Source organism: Homo sapiens, chromosome 4 (genome assembly GCF_000001405.40).
Source record: "Homo sapiens chromosome 4, GRCh38.p14 Primary Assembly".
Taxonomy (NCBI): Eukaryota; Metazoa; Chordata; class Mammalia; order Primates; family Hominidae; genus Homo; species Homo sapiens.
In genome coordinates this window covers 84,479,487-84,499,849 of record NC_000004.12, presented here as the reverse complement: position 1 = coordinate 84,499,849, position 20,363 = coordinate 84,479,487, and the positions used below count along the sequence as shown (strand labels likewise).

The following is a 20,363-nucleotide window of genomic DNA, read 5'->3' as shown; positions in this document are numbered from 1 at the left end:
TTCGAGGTGAGGCGCCCTCCAGAGCTGGTGGGGGAAGGGGATAGGATGACGCGAGCGGGCTAGTGGGGAAGCAAGGGAAGAATATGAACTGCTTTTCCATAAAAGGGCTGAGTTTTCATTATTCCTCTCTTTAAAAAGTAATACCCTCTTCGTCTCTGCTTCCCCCTCCCCTTTCTCATTTTATTTAGCACAATTAATTGAGGCGGCCACTGGCCCCAGCGCGGAACCGCACCACTCACCAGCTCCCGCCCCTCCTGGCCCCGCCCACAGGAGAAAGAAGTAGGGAGCGGGAGGGGACTAGGCGGGCGCGGCCCTACGCCTGGCCCGCCTCAGCCAATCAGAGGGTGCGGCGCCCCCGAGTGGGCGAGCCCCAGGGGCGACGCAAGGATCGAGGCGGCGAGCTATTGGACACGGTGGTTACGCCCCCGGCCTGCGCCCGGCTCGCCGGCCCCCGCAGCCTCGGAGTGACGTCCCTCAAAGTTCTCATTTTGGTCCCCCACTTCCCCCTCCCTTTCGTCCCCCAGCTAAAGAGGGGTAGGGAGTGATGCAAATGTTTTATTACCTTTGAGAGCTTCATCTGAACTGTCAGGCCCGGAGGGAGAGAGGAAAGGAGAGAAAGAGCGGAGGAGCCGCGGAGAGGGTCAGTTTGGCCAGAGGACAGGACTTAGAAGACCGAAGCCTGGGAAGCCGCGAAGAAAATGCCAGAGAGGAGAGTCAAAGGCTGAGAGTGAGAGGGAGAGAGGGAGCGGGGGTGGGGCGGGGGTCGCCGGGCCCGTTTGCAGAAGTGGACTGACGAGCGGCGCCGAAACCCAGCCGTCAGACTTTTCACACTTAGTCTTTTGTTTTTCTGTGTTTTTCCTCCCCCTTTTTCTTTTCAATATTGCAACTCCAGTGCCCCGTGGGCCAGAGGGCAAGGCGGGTGGAGGTGAGGACCTGGGAGCCGCGGGGATCCGTGGCACTGCCCTTTCTGGCGCAGCAGCCCGGGGCAGCGTGGGCGGAGGAAGCCCGCACAGAGGCTAGATCTCCCGCGGGCTGGATGCGCTTTCTCCCCGGGCACAGTGAGCGTCGAATGCGAATCAGCCGCGCGACCGAAAGAGCAGAGCATCCCAGTAAGATCAGAGGAGCGCCACGGGCTGCACAAGGCGTCCTTTGAACCTCCCCAAAGAAAGCAAGCCACCCCCACCCTCCAACTTCAAAGTGGAGATTCGGCAACTAACTTTGCTACAAACTCTCCGGAGCCAGCCTGGGTTTTGTTTTGCTTATTTCCCGGGGGCAGAAGATGAGAAGTAGCGCACTTTGAACAGCTAGGAAAAGTGAGGAAGAGAGAATAGCCAGGGATCGAATCTAGGACTCGCGGAACGAAAGGACTGCCTAGCCCGCCGGGACGCCTGCTTTTCTCGGCGAGCTGCCGCCTCCCGCGTGGAGGGTTTGGACATCTCTGCTGCGCAGCTAGGCGAGCAACTCCCGGCAGCGGCATTTTTGGTTCAGTTGGCAGCTCGCCTCCGGGCGCGCCGAGTGCCTCTCCGCTCGCGCCCTCGGCGCTTCCGGCTCCTCTGAGCCCCGCGGGGGGCACCAGCCAGCGCCCTCGCTGCAAGGCTACGGTCTCCGGCGTGGCCGTGGGATGTTAGCGGTGGGGGCAATGGAGGGCACCCGGCAGAGCGCATTCCTGCTCAGCAGCCCTCCCCTGGCCGCCCTGCACAGCATGGCCGAGATGAAGACCCCGCTGTACCCTGCCGCGTATCCCCCGCTGCCTGCCGGCCCCCCCTCCTCCTCGTCCTCGTCGTCGTCCTCCTCGTCGCCCTCCCCGCCTCTGGGCACCCACAACCCAGGCGGCCTGAAGCCCCCGGCCACGGGGGGGCTCTCATCCCTCGGCAGCCCCCCGCAGCAGCTCTCGGCCGCCACCCCACACGGCATCAACGATATCCTGAGCCGGCCCTCCATGCCCGTGGCCTCGGGGGCCGCCCTGCCCTCCGCCTCGCCCTCCGGTTCCTCCTCCTCCTCTTCCTCGTCCGCCTCTGCCTCCTCCGCCTCTGCCGCCGCCGCGGCTGCTGCCGCGGCCGCAGCCGCCGCCTCATCCCCGGCGGGGCTGCTGGCCGGACTGCCACGCTTTAGCAGCCTGAGCCCGCCGCCGCCGCCGCCCGGGCTCTACTTCAGCCCCAGCGCCGCGGCCGTGGCCGCCGTGGGCCGGTACCCCAAGCCGCTGGCTGAGCTGCCTGGCCGGACGCCCATCTTCTGGCCCGGAGTGATGCAGAGCCCGCCCTGGAGGGACGCACGCCTGGCCTGTACCCCTCGTGAGTACTACCACCCGCGCCCCGATGCCTGCCTGCCGTGCCTGTTCTGCCCACTCCCGGGTCGCGGCCCCTGGTGTGCATGCCGCTCAGTCCATCCTGTGGCCCGCCCCAGTAGTTTGACAGCGCCGGAATCACACCAGTTAGGTTGGGCCAGGGCTTCCAGAAAGGGATTCTCGCTTTTCTGAGCTCGCGTGGCTGTATCCAAGCGCCTCCCTCTCTCTAAGTCTTGAGTACGCCTGGGCTGAGCCGGTGTGTGTGTGTTCGTGTGGACCACAACGCGGTGAGGGACGTGTGTCTCGTCCGAGGCCCTGGCTGTTCCTGAAACGGCCTGGCCAGGACCGCAGGCCTGGCCTGGATTAGAAAGATGGGGAGGAGAGGGGAGGAGAGGCCACTGCATCTCTGCTTTCCCGGCTCCTCCCTGTCGTCCAGCGCCCCATTCCGCCTTCGCCAGCCTAACCCGCTGCCTCTCTTCGAAGCAGTGAGGCCCGGCAGCGGTGAGCCCTCCACCGCCCGGGAAGTGAGTGTATTTGCATGCACGTCTCCGCCTGGGGTGTCCCCACCTCACCTCTTCGCCCTCGCCGCCCGAGTACACTCGGCCTGGGTGAGCCCATTGAAGACAGTCCAGCGTCCCCAGGGCAGGGCGAGCGCTTCCAGCCGCTCACCAGCGCTGGGCCCGCGCTTTCCCACCTGCCTCCACTCTGGGGGCTGGCACACGCTGCGTCCGGGCACATTTGGGGACATCGTGGAGCTCAACACCCTAACACAAGAGCGAGCCAGGAGAAGAGTGAGATGAAGGGACACGGCCTGGGGAAAATGTACCATCCCGCAAAGACCTTGCTTGAGGCAAACTGAGTTGCCCCAAGATCACGCTAGTCTTCGGGGTAGTAGGCCGCAGCGCCGCGGAGGCTCCCAGCCTTCCAGGTGGACTTCAGGGCCCAGCCTGGGGTCCTTTTCTCGCTCAGTTCTTCGCCTTTCAGCGAGTCTCCGAAGTTTCTTCCAAGTCTCCGGACCTCCTTAGTGCGGCTGAGCGGCAGTAACTGCGGGAAGTTGCGAAAGCCAAGTGGAGGTTCTCTTGGGAAGCCCGGGGACTGTGGCAGCCGGGCCTGGTGGGGGTGCCAGGGAGACGCTATTGTATCGGTTTTGATGGCCGTATTAGGGGCCGCCAACAAAGGCTGTGCCCCCTCCCCCTTCCCCTCTCCCCCTCGGCTGCAGCGACGTTAGACTTGGGGGCGATTTAGCTCTCTTGTGTGCAAAAACAAGGACCCCTTTGTTGCCTGGACACAGGTTAGGGAAGCGTTGAAGGAAAAAAAAAAAAATCTAGTTATTCTCACTTAAAGGCTCCGGGGCCGAACGAGCACCGACTGGATTAGGAGGCGAGAGTGGCCTTTTTCTGGCAGTCGTTAATTTAATGGGGCCTTGCGATTAGGCTCTGGCAAACTTTAGCAATAGGCTCCCTAGCTGTTTGACGTCGGTGTTGAGCAGAAGGTATTTACTGCTGCGCCAAACACGCGGCTTTTAAAAAACAGGTGGATGTAAAAAAGCAAAGGGAGACGTGCCGTTAGTCTGGAAGCGCCACTACACTTCTGGTGTCCGCCACAGACTGAGCTTTCTTTCCCCACAAAACATTGTTTTTCGAGTTCGTTTTTTCCCCCTAGTGCAGCCGCTTGTAACCGATTGTTTTTCCCCCTCTCTCGTTGTTTATTGGTTCTCACAGATCAAGGATCCATTTTGTTGGACAAAGACGGGAAGAGAAAACACACGAGACCCACTTTTTCCGGACAGCAGATCTTCGCCCTGGAGAAGACTTTCGAACAAACAAAATACTTGGCGGGGCCCGAGAGGGCTCGTTTGGCCTATTCGTTGGGGATGACAGAGAGTCAGGTCAAGGTGAGTGGACCTTGCATACCTGGAGGGATAGGTACCGCCCCTGTCGCGCGCGCGTGCACACATGGGCACACACACACACACACACACCCCAAACTAACAAACAGTCGCCTGGGAGGTGCGAATCCAAGGAGCCTGGGGAGAAGTTGAGAGCAGTGAAGGAGGGTGGGGACTACAAAGGCGCTGGGGTCTTGCAGGCGGGCAAACTCTTGATGAACAAAAGGAATCAAGTCCCCGCCTTTGAAATTAGGTTAATCTATATAGCAGCATGTGCTGGGGGACTCACCATTATTAGAGAATAAAGGCATTACTGAAATATCAGCCCAGAGAATAGATCAGGCCAGTTAGACAGCTTCTACATATCCTATCTGTAGCGATATCCAAGTTTTTGTTTGTCAATTCAGGCTCCACTAGTTATATAATTTCCTAATGTAGATCAGTATTACAGGGCTACTGTATTAATTCGCAAGTAAAAATAAATAAATCCACAGGATCTAACCACTTGCCATAGATGAACCTGTTTTTTAGCTTAGCTTAAGGCAATCGCTTTGGAATAGTAATTTTACAAATGAATTGACAAGATTATTACTGAATTATAGGCTTGAATTTGGTTTAAAATAAGTTTATTAACAGATTTAGGATTTGCACTATTCATGACAACAATTTATAATTAAAACATCACTTTCCTTATAATTGAGTTGTATAGTATATTTCCAAGGAAACAAATTTCAGAAATTTTTTCCTAAAAAATAAAGGGATTAAACAAGCTGGGTAAATTCAATCTAATGGTTTCTTATATTTCCAATAGTCTCTTTTGTCCTTCTTTTTCAGTTTGTTATGTTTGTTTCTTTGGGGTGTAAGTCTGTTTTCATTAGTTCTATTGTTGCTTCTTAAATTAAGTAGGAATAACATTAGCCATGTCTGCTGGCTAGTGTATTTCCCCCTGGACAGCCATCATAAAATACATTTCAGGAGTGATTTTGTATGTGGCCATTAGGATACCATCACAGTTAAAATTATTTTTTGCAGTAGGTTGGTACAGAGCCTACTGCGATAATCTGGAGGTCTTCATTTTTCACCGTAAATATGTCTATATGGCTAGAAGTGAATTATTATAGCTGTATAAAGAAAATAAACATCACTTTCTTAACAATTCTGATTCTCTAGATAAAATACATAATGGAGGACAAGAATAAAGGGAGGATAATTCAATATCTTTGGGAAATATGTTGCTTCTTGCTGATGCTTTAGGTAAAATATGTGTCAAACATCATGAATAAGCTTAAAAATATTTGTATTAAATGTCTTGAGCAGGAACACAGTTAAAATAACATTTGAAAGAATAGACATGCCAATTGTGGAAAATAATGTAATTGACAATTTTTCACGTTTTAAAAATAACCAATGGTAATTCTAGTCTTCACTTTACTTTGGGTTTATGAAGAACATTAAAGGCGATTTGAAGTTTGTATTTTAACAGATCTTTTTTTTTTTTTTTTTGAAGTGCACCATACATTGCAAGTAAAAACTGGGAGGATATTTTTTATCTACCATGTTTGTACACATTCAGATCTGAGATAAGTGAAACAAACAAATGTTTAAAAGTGAAAAGGAGAACAGAAGTAATTGGGGCAAATGCTGTGCTTTCCCCCCACAATCTATACCGAAAAGCAAGTACGTGTCAGGTTGTTTGAAATTTCTTAATTTAAGAAAGTAAATAAGGAATAAAATCACAGCCACTGTGGGGCAACTTCATGAAGGGGGAAAGTTTTCAACTTCAAACTGGAAGGCAGGAAAGTGAACTCACTTTTAGGGACGCTCATTTTTAAGTTTCCGAGTTTTGTTTTTACTTTTGAGAACTCGCTCACTGACAACCTCAATACTCTTGTGTTACCATCGCTATGGCAACGGCAGTCAGTTTGTTGGTGCCAGTTACTCAGGGGGAACTTGGGGCGACGGAGACTGACTTTGACGGCCGAGAAAAGGGAGGGCTGCGAGGGAGGGCAGCAGGCCTTCGGGGGGCCGCGGGAGGGCCATCGAGATGCGGGAGTGGTAGCATGGCCTGGATCTGCTCGTTTAATTCCTCGCCCTTGCCTCCCCTCTCCTCCCTTTTCTCCGCCCTCAGGTCTGGTTCCAGAACCGCCGGACCAAGTGGAGGAAGAAGCACGCTGCCGAGATGGCCACGGCCAAGAAGAAGCAGGACTCGGAGACAGAGCGCCTCAAGGGGGCCTCGGAGAACGAGGAAGAGGACGACGACTACAATAAGCCTCTGGATCCCAACTCGGACGACGAGAAAATCACGCAGCTGTTGAAGAAGCACAAGTCCAGCAGCGGCGGCGGCGGCGGCCTCCTACTGCACGCGTCCGAGCCGGAGAGCTCATCCTGAACGCCGCCGCCCGCCGCACCTTCCCGGCTCCGGCCTCCACCTCTGGGGCCGCGAGGGGCGCGGGGACCGCGTGCACGCCGCGCCTGCCCGCTCCTCGGGGCCCGGAGGACCCGGCCCTGCCTGCGGGGACCCTTTGCTATTTTTGAGATGTACATATCTATTTTTTTAACCTTGAAGTTGTGGGAGGGGATGTAGGGGAGAGAGACTCCGGGGTTGATAAGGCAAGAAAGACCACCAAATGCACTGCGTAAATGTCGCTACTGAAACCCGCAGCCGGGCCACGGTCCCAGCCGCGTCCCCATAGGCGGGCAGCGGCCTCAGCGCCCGGGTCCCCCTCGCCCCCAGATTTTGCCCCCGCGGGCGGCGGGGTAGGGGGCGCCGAGAGGTGCTGTGGAAGGGTTCACGCTCACCGCATGGGGGACCTCGGAGCGAAGCGGGCGGGCGCTGCCACAGATGGGAAGAGGGACGTTTCCCCCCCCACACACTGCTGTGCAACTAAAGTAACCTGTTGAAGGCTCTTTGTAAATAAATCGTGAGTTACACTGACTAGAAGTTACTTTATTGTGAATATTTAAAATGTAAAATGCTTTTTTGAATTTCGTATAAAAAGATGGACTTTCTTCCTTCTCCTCCTCCCCTTTGAAGAGCGACTCAAGCCACACCTTCCCTTTTATTTTGAACTTAATTTGAGAAGCGTAGAATAGAATGTCCCCACCTTCTCCGTCCCCTCCTCTCGTTCCTCTTTCCCGTTTGGATTTGCAGAATCTCACCTTTGCCCTTCATCTCTTCTCGCCCTGCCCTGCCCTGCCCACCCCCTGGATCTACACTGCGCTCCCGCCCCCCGGACTTGAAGTGGAAGACGTGGGAACCAGGGAGGGCCTCTCACCTGCCTCCCTGTTCCTCTCTGAAATTGCACAGTCGTTTGTTGCTATTTATTAGTGATTTAAAGAAAATATTGGGGAGGGAGGGGCTACAATAGCTTGTATTTAACTCCTTTCTGATAAAAATGCGTGTTAAAGTAGGTGGTGGGAATTGTTACAACCGCTCTGGGTCTGAAACATAAAAATTCATTTAGTTACTGTAATTGAATTTGAAGTGTTTTGTATCATAAGAATACTATAGAATATGTAAATTGTTTTCTTTTTACAGCTAATAATGGTGATATATTAGCATCTTTAACCTTTATTAATTTATATAAGGAATTCGGTTTGTAAAGAGAAGAAAACCCCCTTTGCAAGACCAGTTAAATGTAATGCACTTTCTGTTTCAAAGGATAAATCAAATTAAAAAAAACAGTTTGAAGACGTCTGTTGCCTTGAATGAAAGGGTACAGATCATCTGATCTCATCAGAGATCTCAAATAATAAAAGTCAAGACCACAAAAAAAATGGTATATCGGTTTCTTGGGTGAAATAGCTGTTACTTAATTTTTTTTTCTTTGGATGAGTGATGTCACATTTCTCATTCTCCTGGATAGGAAAATAAAATAAATGCAGCCCCACTCATGGTGATTCTTGGAGAGACTAGTCTAGCTAGCTAGCTGCTTCTGATGTCTGTGTTGTCTAATTTCTTCCTGATCGCTTTTTCCTTTTCCAGGAAGTCCCTGGGGTTGGGGGGCAGTTGGGAAGAGCTCATTTCCATATATCCAAGATAGCTCCTCAGTCAGCCCCTATTCGATTAGCGTAGAGGAGGCAGCGGAGCTCGCTGGTTGAGTAGCACTGCTGTTTGATGCTAATATTTCTCCCCCGTAGCTGTAAGACTGCAGAAATTGTGGAAAGACAGAAGCCTTGATTTTACTAAACATTACTGTTGAAAGATGAATTTAAAGAAAGCTTCCTTTAACTGGTGTAAAAATATTTTAGGGTTAAGAAAGCAATGTCATAGCTTCTCCAGCTGCCGAATCTGAAGAAAAAAAAAATTGGGAAGGCCAGGGCTGTATCACTGTTTTGGGATCTTTTTGTTTTTAGACACTCGGTTTCAGGCTCAGTGAAATATCATTACCTCCTTAGTGTTTCGGGTTAATGAGCTTGTGTTCAAAGAGAAAAAAATCAATAGAGTTCAGTAGATTCTTCAGGCTAAAGAAAGTATAGATCTGTTCTGTTCCCTTGAAAGTAAAAAATAGTTGAAAACTAAAATTTTCACAAATTCCACAAAATGAAATTGCCTAAAGAGAAATTATTGTAGAATGCAATGCTAATGGCATGATTTAACAGAAAGGCTGAAAATCTGTCCTCTTTTTTTTTTTTTTCTAGTTTGTGAAGTTCTCAGGGAGTTTCAAACTCTTCTGAATTTCCGTCTTCTTAGCATGACTAAGGTATGTGTCCTTCAGAGAAGCAGCTATTTTGAAGGAGGGTTTGCTGTGCTGGGATGATTTCTATTTTAGCTGTGAACAATACCTTCCTTTCTTTCTTCTTTTGTTTTCCTTCCTTTTTTCTTTCCTCCCCCCTTCCTTCCTTCCATTCCCTTCCCCCTCTCCTTCCTTCTTGCCTTCCTGACTTCCTTCCTTCCTCTTCCTTTTTTCCTTTCTCTCTCCCTCTATATTTCTTTCCCTTTTTATAAAAGGACAGAGGTGGGTGGGTAGGGAGGACACATCACCTATTGTCCTGCAACTGTACTTTATCATTTAATTTTTGAAAATGAGAACATTTTTTCTACTTTATTTCTTTTAGCCTTTACTCACACCTCCTCTGCCTTGAAAAGCCAAGCAACTTTTTATTTATTTATTCTTCCTAAAAAAACACAAAAAATCACAATATAATTAGAATGTTATTCCCAGAATATAATAATAGCAGTAATAGTGGCAGTAGTAGTAATATAGTAGTACTAGTCACAGAAAACTTGGAACTAAGATTGAAGCTTTTTCTCAAAAAGTAAACAGGTTGATAGCATTTATTCCAAGTTAGAGGTGTAGGAAGAAACCTCTCGCAAATCCCTTAGGAAGCGTTCCTCTGTGCTCTTCACCTTTCCATTCTGAGCATCTGAGAAGGGTGAAAGCTGATGCCTGGACTCCACTCCACAGGCAAATATGTAGAGGAAGGATGGGTGTGTGAGCTTGCCAGCCTGAGTACTGATGTGCTCTGAGGTGTGTGGGTGGCAGTCAGAGTCGGGCTCTGGGGCCAGGCTGCACTGGCATTTGCTCCTTTTTCTACTTGACTGCAGCAGTGGCTTGAGGTTTCCAGTTAATTTACTTCCACGCAGCACTCCAGCTGGCCCCCAGTTGCAACTGGCCCCATAAAACTGAGAATGAGAGAGAAGGGGGACATCTTACCCCTAATTCCCTTGTTCTTGGTTGGTTTGGTTTATTTCCATTTATGTGCAACAAGAACAGATTTTCACAAGGGTTGACTCGTGGGGAAACTGAGGAGACACTCTACAGCTTAAGTAATGGAGAGTAAGAATCATTTTTCATTTCGGTTCAAAAATTTTATGGCGTTAACAACCATAAGCGTCTGATTAAGGCTGCCAACCAACAATTACAGCTAACAGGGTCATGCTTTAAAAATAAAAAAGTCACAGCAAGTGGCTTGATGGACCACTGCATTTAAAAAGTCTTACAGGCATCAGAATGCCAACAGTGGAAAACAGACAAAAACAAGTGTGTGCGTGTGTGTGTGTGTGTGTGTGTGTGTGTGTGTGTGTGTGGTGAAAGAAAGGGTAAAACTGCTTTTTCATTTTTGTTGGTATGTGTTTCTTTTCCTAAAAAGGAAAAGGCAATGGGGCTGCATGGGAGATATAGAATAGAAGAGAAGGGCCCTGGACCTGTGTCTTAGATGTCCCAGCAGCATTCGCTGCATCTACTCAGTTCTCTTTCTGGGCCCCAAAGTCCAGGCTCAATTCTTCCACTTGGTGAGTAATTTTCTCTTTGGTTCACATTCAGGATTCTGTAACTTAAAGCTCCATGCCTTTCTTCCCAGAAGCTGTGGTGTGTTGAGCGGCTTTCCAAGCTTGTGAGCAGTTTAATACACTATTCCTTTCCCTGTTTCAGAGACAGTGGGAAGAGGGGGAACTGAAAATCACTGATTCTCTTCTAGAAATTTCCTCATTGCTCAGTGGGTAGGGAGTTTGGACTGCAGGCCAGCTTTTCTTGGAAAAGAGACCGGGGTGCATTTGCAACCCTTTGGAGCCTAATATTGTGTATTAATAGATGAGTATGTTATTATACCAGCATCAACTTGGGGAGATCCACACTGCCCTTTCCTTTAAGTTGATGATCAGCAGGGACAGACACACACACACACACACACACACACACACACACACACACACACACGCACGAGAGGTGAAATTCCACTAGGGAACTCCTAGCACTGAATAGTTTAAAGACACAGTGGCTCCTTTGTTAATCACTGACAATAGGATCTTGCAGTAACAACAAAGGTAAGTGGTAGATTTCTTCTGTAAACTCTATTTTATGTTAATTCGAACAAATTTCTCTGCACTAAATTTCTTCCTTCTTACCATACACACAGATAACAAGCAAAAAGTGCTCTTTCCTCCTCTTGTGACTTTTTTTTTTTTTTGCCAGTTATTCAGGACAATTATTTTATTCCTTTTTTTTTGACAGGAAAGTGTGCACTTTTTTCTTCCATAGCATTTAGACTGTGAGTTTTAGGGAGAAACATATTCTCCCTAATGTAGCCCCTTTTAATATCTATAGAAAACACAGCACTATAACCCTCTCTCCCAGCCTATTAAATGGAAAGTTTGACTGGGAGTAATGATGGTTTGAGCAGGATGACTAAGGAATAGGGTATTTTCCTGAAATTGAGACTTCAGTGTTCCAGAGATTGGCTTAGAGTTGTTCCACAAACTGAAAGTTTACCTGAGACCCTGGGGGATTCACTCTCTAGTCTTCCTCTTTGATCCAACATTGGTCACCCAAAGATGAAATGTTTAGATGTGCATCATTTGTTCTCATGCTCCAAAGCAGCCACTTCTATTGACTAACACACTTGAAGACTTTAAAGAGTAGAGCATAATGTCTGCATGGTGTTTGATATCTACTGGTGGGTGGCCAGAATTCTGAAGTAGAAGCTTCATTCAAAGTTTCTATTTTAGTATACTTTGAATAAGGGCTAGTTTGGTTGAAGATATGTTCGAAAATGGATTGCTTCCCCATTGTCAGGAAAGAGTTTTTACTATGTAATTTAAATAAGTGCATGTTATTTTTTCAGAGGGACCTTACCACCCTTCTAGTATAACATTTTCCCTATGTCTACCTCGGGAAAGCCAAAATAAATTATGAGGCATAATTATCCTATGTATTTACTTATTATAAGGGACAGATATATCAAATTCAGGAAAGAAGCTAGTATATAAATTCCTTTTACCTTTGTAACATATAATTTTATTTTTGGGACGTTGGGTGAATTAATTATGAAAACACTGTCCATCATCAATAAATTGTTTGGGACAAATCTATTTGGATAGACCACAGAAAGTTAAGATTGCTGAAAATCCATTGACTTAGTTATTACCACATGGTCTAATCATCTTCAAACAAAGGCATTCAACCAATTTTCATGCCTTTAATCTGAGCTCCATACAGGAGTCCATGGTTTATAGTAATTTCTCTATTTATCATTTGCCAGCCTTGGTCCTTGCATTTTATGCTATGGTTCAGCTCTTGAAAAGAATTTTGGAAACTTTTTTTTGACCCTAGATTTTTCTTCCTTCTCTGTACTCTTTACTTGGTCTGTAAGGATTTGCCAGTTTTTATTCTCAAAACCAAATGGTCTCAAGTGAATGAGAGGGTATAAGGAATCTTTCATTCTTGCCACAAGATCACAATGATCAAGAGATCATATAGTGATTGAGAGCAGGGCTCCACAGGTAGATTAGGGATGATAATTGCACCTACTTCATAGAATTATTGGGAGAATGAAATGAATTAATACATATGAACAGTACCTGGCACATAGTAAGCTATGAAAGTTGTAGCCATCATTGTTGTCATCACCATCATCATCATCATCATCAGCAGCAGCAGCAGCAGCAGTAGCACCATCAAGAAAGGCCCTGTCTCAGGTTGCCTTTAGCTCTAGCCCTACTGTCTTGTGCAACCAGGGAAAGATTATGCAAAGTGAAAGTGGAAAGAGAAGTTAAGACAGCAAAGGAGGATTTCTTCTATGTAAACCTTAAAGCCTGACTACCTGAAGTGGTTTTTGAATATTTTAAAAAATTATTTTATTTCTTCCTTTAAAAGATGGATCCTAATTCCTGTGTTCTTGGGTATGGGTTAAATTCAGTGTCTTCCTTCTAGTGAATACAGTGTAGGTTACTCTCCTTGTTCTTTCTCTTGGATCACTTGATGTGGAGGAAGCCAGCTGCAGTGTTGCCCCTATATAGAGGTCCATGTGGTGAGGAACTGAGGCATCTGCAGGCTTATGCGAGGCCCTGAGGCAGAATCACCCAGCTGAACCCTCCGGGATTCCTGACCCATAGAAACTGTGTCAGATCATGTTTATTGTTTTAAGCCATTAAATTTTGGGATAATTTGTTACATAGCACAGATAAGCAGTACCCTATATAATAGACCTATCTTTGTTCTCTGGATAAAGAGTAGTCAATTGAAAGTAAAGATTCTTGAAGAAGGCATCTTTCATAATTACTTAAAGTCATTTGAAAATGCCACCAGACTGACACTATGTGGTATGAAAGGAAGCACTACCGTTAACTTCATTAGGGAGAGAAAACTTGAGCCCTAGCACTGGTTTCTATTTTTTGCAGTAACTTGATCCCAGACATTTCTTCCTCTATACAACTACGTCAATCAAACTTTCACAAAGTTGTTGTGAAACCCAAAAGCAAAAAGTCTTTATAAAGTGACATACAAATATAAGAGGTGATGATTATATCTTGTAATATGGCTGTGTAGTTTGGCTAAATATATCACAACTGGTGCTTCCCATGAAGAAATCTCAGACATGGACAGAACCTGGATCTGGTTCACAAGCCAGTACTACTTATCTTCTCCCCACAAGATGCGGCCAGAGACACACTTCCAACATTACTCTGCCTGCTTGGATGATGGGAAATGTAAAAACAAACAAACAACAAACAAATAAAAAACACAGATACAAACAAACAAAAACCTCAGGGAAAGAAAAGAGACATAAAAAGTCTCTTTTCACTTTTCACTGAGTTTCAAGTTAGGACTGAGCATTTGGAATTTGCCCCTTTTACCTTTCCTTTGAAAACTAGGGATATGACTCTCTTTTGAGAGAGACAAGGTTGCAAGAAGGCAGGAGATGGGGGAGTGGGTGAGAGGTGCTGAAGCTGCTGTTGATTTCCTGGGGCATAAGAAAGGGAGGGAGGCAGCAAGCCCTCAAAAGAATAGAGCAAGACCACTAGGAGTCACGGAACCAGCTCTTGATTAAGAGGGAAAACTCCCATAGAACTTGCTTTTTCCAGTGTGAGTTTGGGCCTTACTTGCCAACTGAAGTTGATGGGCAGAAGGTTCTTCCTCTTTGACCATCTACTCCACTTTTGCACACCTCTCAGAACACTACTGAAGCAGAGTGAAGCCAGGGTACCAGGGAAACAGTACAAACAGCAAATACAGTTGAAAACTTGGGCTTCAGTACCTCTGATATAAAAAGCAATCCCACTGCTGGTCTAGGTCTTGATAAACACAATTCAAAGAGAAAAGGGACTGCAAAGGCAAATATGAAATCAGCACATTGTCATTAACTTCCATTAGATAGAAAGTAAGGGACAAATGGATGACTCCAAGAGCCCTTGCTGTCAGCACACTTAAGGTGACTGTGTCAGCCAGGGACCCATGCTCTACCTGCAAGGGCCATGATGGTTTCCAAGTGAACAGTATCTATCTGTCTGTCTATCTATCTATCTATCTATCTATCTATCTATCTATCTATCTATCATCTATCTATCTAGCTCTCTATCTTCTGTAGTATAGTGCTGTGTCGTTTTGCCCAGGAGAAGAAAGAGCCTCAAAGAGACTTGATAGGCCAAAGTGGGTGACAATTTGGACAGAGCTGTAGCAGTACTACCTCTTAGAAAACTTTTAAACCTGGAATAGTCAGACTTTGAGGACATAAGGTCATACACAGCTTGTTTCCTGTTGTATCCTGGGGACACTGTGCATGCTCAGGTACACACCACGCCTGGCTAATTTTGTATTTTTAGTAGAGATGGGGTTTCTCCATGTTGGTCAGGCTGGTCTCGAACTCCCGACCTTAGGTGATCCGCATGCCTCGGCCTCCCAAAGTGCTGGGATGACAGGCGTGAGCCACCGCACCCTTGTACATCTGATTATTATGTAATAGTTTGACAAATTGCTAGAACAGGGTGTTTGGGAGCCCTTCTGCCCTAAAAAGGGTATGTGTTCTACCTTAATGGTCTCATCGTTCAATTCCTTTTCTTCGGTGCTTTTTCTACAATGCTGACTTACAGCAACAGACACTCTGCTGTCTAGGAGAGGCTAGAAAAAGCCTTAGGTGTAGTCCTTTGCCTCTCAGAATCTGGTGTCCTCTACCCCATGACTGGGAATTGGATAGGAATGGGGAATCGTGTGGTGGTCCTCCCGGCTCAGTCACACAGCTGAACTCCGGGCTGTCTTATTTTATCTGCTCCTATTCGGCTGGACAGAAAACTCACTGTTTCCCATACCCTGCGTTTCTCGCTCATCTCGGGCACAAACCAGACTCTCTGTGAAGAGCAGGGTCGGTATAAGAGCAGAGAATGAAGGAACTTGGCTTTTCCTGGGGGAGGGGGTGGGGGAAGGTCCTTATGTGGAGGAGAAAGGCTTCCTGGACTAGGACCACGGTTCCTAAGGGAAGAGTTTGGAATGTGCTCTGCGGTCCCACCTACAGGAAGGAGCTATAGAATCTCTCTGAATGCCTGAAGAGGCTGTGCTGGGCCTGGGCCTCCCAGAACTTTCCCTTTAGGTGAGGAGAGACCTGAAGGACCTAAAGGCTGGAGCTCCCAGAGACAACTCTGGTTTAAAAAGGCCCTGAAAAGAAAACATGCAGAAGTTGTAGGGGTTAATGTTCCCTTTCAATCACAGACAAAGGTCAAAATGAGACAAATCGGAATTCGTCTTGATTAAATGAGGAGTCAAAAAATGCGGTTTTGTCTGTGTTGTTCTCATCTGCTCCGAAAGAAGTCTCTCCCAACCCCGCAGGAGAATCCCATACAGAGACTCAGTCTGGGCCTCTTTGCACACGCTGCGGCGTCGAGTCCAATGGGTGCAAGGGAGACGAGAGGGCAAGCGTGTGTCTGTGGGGGCGGGCTTCATGGCTGGACTTGCTGCGTGGGTGATCCCAGGACTAAGGCAATTAGAACGCTCGGGATTGGCTGGCTTGTGTAGTTTGCTTATCGATGGCTTTAAGCCCAGACGGCACCACGTCTGCCACACGATACCTGTATCCATCGCACAACCTGTAAAGCGGCTGCGCCTACTCGCAGTGGAAAGGGCGCTACAGGCCCCGGATCTTCCCAGAAGCTCCACCACTTCAGGGCAGGAAAAGGCAGCCGTGGCCGCTGCCTTCAGTTGTCCAGCTGTCCCTTCCTTTACACACCCTTCCTCGTGTGTTCTCTCCTCTGCGACTCTCCCACAGTTTGGACTGAGCTGAAATCCAGTCATGGCGCATCTCAGGGAGCTAGTCTCCGCACGCCGCCAGGTTCTTGATAATATATCCTGTGTCTACTTTCGGGGATGACAAAGCCCAGAAAATTCAAGCGAGCTAGGATGTGCCCGGCACTGTGTTCCCTTCTCTGGTCCAGTTTCTACCTTTCGGCAAATTCTTTACTGAGCCCGGCCGAACGAAGTCTGTTTGGGATTTAGGACGTTGGTCACCATACCTGGCCCAGTTCCCTAGTGCTGGGGGCAGGCTCCGTCCCTGGGACCCGGGTCCGGGGCCCTGCAGCCTCAGCCTGGGGTGCTGGGCATACGCGGGCCTCGGAGTTTGTGCGCTCCACCCACTGCTGCTACCAGTACGTGGCCAGTTGGGCTCCCTCCCCCAGGACAAGTTCCCGGGAGGTCCCGCCGAGACCAGGGGTACCATCATCCCTGGGTATCGCCGTCCCGAGAGCCCTGCCAGCGCGTGGCTTCGCAGAGAATGAAACTGGGGTGTCCAGGGTAGAGCCCAGCACAGTACGCTCTCCCCGTTTTCCCTACCTCTGGTGTTTTCAGCGCAAGCTTCGGAGACGTAGCCTGAGCTTCCCATGCCGGGCACGCCCCCTGCAGGTCGGGCCTGCAGCTCGGCGCTACGGATCCTGGACGCAGGGGTGCTTGGCTCTCCCCAGCGGTGCCTGTTACGCCCTCTGCAGGCCGGGCAGGCTCTCCAACGCTGACACGCGCCCCGGGTGGAGCCGCGAACGCTGTCGCCATTTTCCCCTGGGCCCGGGGTAAATTTGCACCTCTGATGTGGCTAACGCCCTGCGCCTCCGCTGACCCCGGGGAAGGGCCTGGTGCACTGGGCGTCCCCTGGGTCGCGGAGGTACAGGGAGGGGACAGCGGATACCAGAGCGTCGCTGGGGAAGGCCGGGCCTTGCAATTCGCAGACCGGTGCGGGCCCTCTTCCCCGAGGTCCCGGGACACAGACATCCAGGCACACTGTGCTAGTTTCCGCGGGGTAGTTTTCGGTCTTCTCTCTTCCTTGCTTGGTTATTACTTTGAAACCGAAAAGGCAACCACAGCTATGCTGGACCTTTTTTTTTTTTTTTTTTTTTTTGACGGAGTTTCGCTCTTGTCGCTCAGGCTGGAGTGCAGTGGCGCGATCTCGGCTGACTGCAACCTCCGCCTCCCGGGTTCAAGTGATTCTCCTGCCTCAGCCTCCTGAGTAGCTGGGGTTACAGGCGCCAGCCACCACGTCCAGCTAATTTTTTTTTTGTATTTTTTAGTAGAGAAGGGGTTTCGCCATTTTGGGCAGACTGGTCTCGAACTCCTGACCTCAGGTGATCCGCCCGCCTCGGCCTCCCAAAGTGCTGGGATTACAGGCGTGAGCCACCGCGCCCGGCCGGACTTGACCATTTTTAAAATGTTATGAATGACACATTTAGAGACGTGCGTACACACGTGTGTTCATATGTTCACATTTACCCACACACCTTGATTTGTCCCCTGCCCCAGTCCCGCTGCATTCCTACCTCTCCACTCTACCCCGCAGCTCCCACTAGGTGTGTTCTAGAACAGATACAGGTTGCTAGCACCGTCCACTAGCTGTTCCCAACATCGGTTACAAATCTCCGCGAGGGACAAAAACATCTGTTCAGTCAGAGACTGGGGAAGTCAAGACTGCGGGTGCCGCACTGCGGGGATGCACAAATCCGGAGCTGAGTCAGAGAGAGCCCCTTGCCCCCTCCCGCTGCGGTCGGCGGTGGCAAAAGATTTTCGAGATAGCAGGTACTCTTGCAGAATGGCACTGCGAGGCCTCCCGAAACGCACACAGCTAGGGCGTCCCGCGGTTCCCCCCACCCCCACTCTACCCGCCCCCGACCTTTGATCTTTTTCCGCTTCCCTCGGCTCAGAGAGGAAACTTTCTCCTCAATTCCCTTTTTCCTTGCGAGAAAGCTGTTTGCATCTGCGCTGTTGTCCCGCAGCGCGCCTAACGGGTGCAGGTGGAAGGGCGCGGCGCGGGGGCGCGGAGGCGCGGAGCTCGAGACTTCTGGCTCCGAAACCCCGCAAGCGAGGGCGTTTGAATAGTCTCCGCAAGGTAGACAGAGGGGAGGCAGAGCCGCCTTCAGTTACAAATAAATTTTGTATTGTTTATATTTTGCTAGGTAGTACATGCACATGGAGAAAAGAAATTCAAGCAGGACAAGAGTGCACAAGCAAGAAGGTATTTAAATATATCCTCTTGGGTGCTTAATTCATCTAAGTAGCGTGTGAGCTCTTGGATTTCTGTGTGCAGAGAGGTTCTTATAGATCTTCATACTCCCAGACCCAGACAGAGAAGTTTCCCGAGTCATCCACATCGCTGACGATTTCTGACTTGGTGGTTTCTCATCGCACCTCCTCAGCACTTCGCCCGGCGGTTTCCGGGGAGAACGGCGGCCTTCCCTGCCGGGTTCTAGGCGAGCGTAACCAGCTCTTTGTGACTTCCGAAGTGAGGCTTCCTGGTATCAAACACTCATTATTGACTACCTTGAGATCTAATATGGTTGGAGGTATATGGAGGGGGGCTCATTTTTCTTTTCATTTCCCGATTCCATTCACAGTTAACGTTACCGACGGTTAATAAAATGTAGCTTGTGACTGTAATATGGGGACGGAGAGGTCCCAATAAATGTCAAAAGATATAAGACAAAAAAGTATCTTGCGACTGTACGCGGGACTGCATTGCTCCCAGTTTTGGCTATAGATGCACTAAAAGAACCTGTTAACACACACCAAAGTGCATCCTTATAATAACCTCCTCAATCATTTATTAAAAGTCGTGTCAAGCAGGCCCGTATAATTCATCTCTATGCAAATACATCAATGTCAGGCCATTAGTGTATTGCTCAGGTTTTTATTAAAGTGCATTCTTTTTAATTCAGCCCCGTAAAATACGAGCCCCATTGCTCAAGAATTATAGCAACTATTAGAGTAACATATGGGCAACATGCACTCAGAAAATAAAAACCAACAGATAAAGTGGCAGGGTCACATCGCAGGAGCAAACACTTAACAAAATGGCAGTGGGGTAATAGATTTTTCTCCCAAGGCCTTTGGCGAAAGGGTGTCATGGGCATTAACACCTAAGGAAAGGCAGAGCCTGGAAGTTACTCTGCAAGGAAAGGTAGAGCCTCGAAGTTACTCTGTGCTGTCTCAAACTCAGAACCAGCCAGGACTGGCATCTCTGGAGTTAGGAGAGGGGAGGCTTCCTGAGCTCCTCTACATTCGGCTACCATCTTTCTATAAAAGGATTTCAACATACCCCAGAGAAGGGTGTTCTGCTTTTTCTTAAAGCAAGAATCCCTTAAGAGATTTCGATGTAGGGTTTATGGCCCAACGCTCCTCCCTCTCTCCTCTCCACTCCCCCACCTCCTTCCTCATCTTGGCTATCTCTCATCCCACACTTGCCTCACTGGAAGCCCCACCCACCTCTAGTACTTTCTGGGATCACCCTTCCCTCCCTGCCTCTGCAGGAAGGTTGAGAAGGCCCGTGGATGTGTAGGCAAATTTCCCTCTCATATGTGGAAGCCTGTGTAAAAACTTCCCATTGAAATCAATCCATAGCTAAAAATAAAACATATTTTAGCTCCCAACTCAGAAGAAACTTAAATGCCCTCTGCCTGCACCCCTCACCTGGCACTGGCACTCGGGGACGCCCAAGTTTCCCAGGTTAGAATGCATTGCTGCAAATTTTGTCAAACCGGGGAAAACTCTAGCCTGATCTGAGAGGGATTTTGCTATTTTAGTTACTGAGGACAGAGTGGTGGCCAGTGGGTGGTGCCCTGCAGCCCTTCAGCAGACGCCTAGGCTTGAGATGGAATGGGGAAGAGAGAGAGAGAGAGAGAATGAGAGAGAGAGAGAGAGAGAAGAGAGCACGCACGAGCAAACTGGTTTGCAACAGCCCCTGACAAATCCACTGGAGAAGTCAGCAGCATCAAATTCAGTTTTTTATTTTTGATTGCCATTAGAACAATCAATTTTCAGAGGCTGGAAAATAAACCTCAAATCCAAAACACAACACAGCCTAGACAGAAAAATAGAGAGAAAAGTGGAAAAAACTCCTAAGAACAATCTCCCAGATTTAATGAGAGAGTTGCCCACATCCTCATCACCCCAGGATGGTAATTGAGCAGATCTATTAACTTGTTACACTAGATTTGTTTAAAGAGACTATTAC

At 48.6% G+C, this 20,363-nt stretch overlaps 1 protein-coding gene across 1 annotated transcript, besides 4 other annotated features; it reads left to right on the top strand.

The window, feature by feature from the left end:
- The first annotated feature begins 557 nt into the window (after positions 1–557).
- On the top strand, positions 558–7,865 carry NKX6-1 (NK6 homeobox 1). The gene is made up of 3 exons (NM_006168.3): positions 558–2,291; positions 4,006–4,178; positions 6,301–7,865. Exons 1-3 carry the CDS (start codon positions 1,622–1,624, stop codon positions 6,559–6,561), a joined length of 1,104 nt encoding a protein of 367 aa, NP_006159.2. The 5' UTR covers positions 558–1,621; the 3' UTR covers positions 6,562–7,865.
- Positions 3,730–4,230: an enhancer, noted in NCBI's record as "H3K4me1 hESC enhancer chr4:85416773-85417273 (GRCh37/hg19 assembly coordinates)". NCBI's record gives its function as "activates a minimal SCP1, AML or CMV promoter by ChIP-STARR-seq in naive H9 embryonic stem cells {active_cell/tissue: H9 hESC(naive)}" and the evidence as "EXISTENCE:reporter gene assay evidence [ECO:0000049][PMID:30033119]".
- Positions 6,587–7,478: an enhancer, noted in NCBI's record as "H3K27ac-H3K4me1 hESC enhancer chr4:85413525-85414416 (GRCh37/hg19 assembly coordinates)". NCBI's record gives its function as "activates a minimal SCP1, AML or CMV promoter by ChIP-STARR-seq in primed H9 embryonic stem cells {active_cell/tissue: H9 hESC(primed)}" and the evidence as "EXISTENCE:reporter gene assay evidence [ECO:0000049][PMID:30033119]".
- Positions 15,315–16,153: an enhancer, noted in NCBI's record as "H3K4me1 hESC enhancer chr4:85404850-85405688 (GRCh37/hg19 assembly coordinates)". NCBI's record gives its function as "activates a minimal SCP1, AML or CMV promoter by ChIP-STARR-seq in primed H9 embryonic stem cells {active_cell/tissue: H9 hESC(primed)}" and the evidence as "EXISTENCE:reporter gene assay evidence [ECO:0000049][PMID:30033119]".
- Positions 17,718–18,218: an enhancer, noted in NCBI's record as "H3K4me1 hESC enhancer chr4:85402785-85403285 (GRCh37/hg19 assembly coordinates)". NCBI's record gives its function as "activates a minimal SCP1, AML or CMV promoter by ChIP-STARR-seq in naive H9 embryonic stem cells {active_cell/tissue: H9 hESC(naive)}" and the evidence as "EXISTENCE:reporter gene assay evidence [ECO:0000049][PMID:30033119]".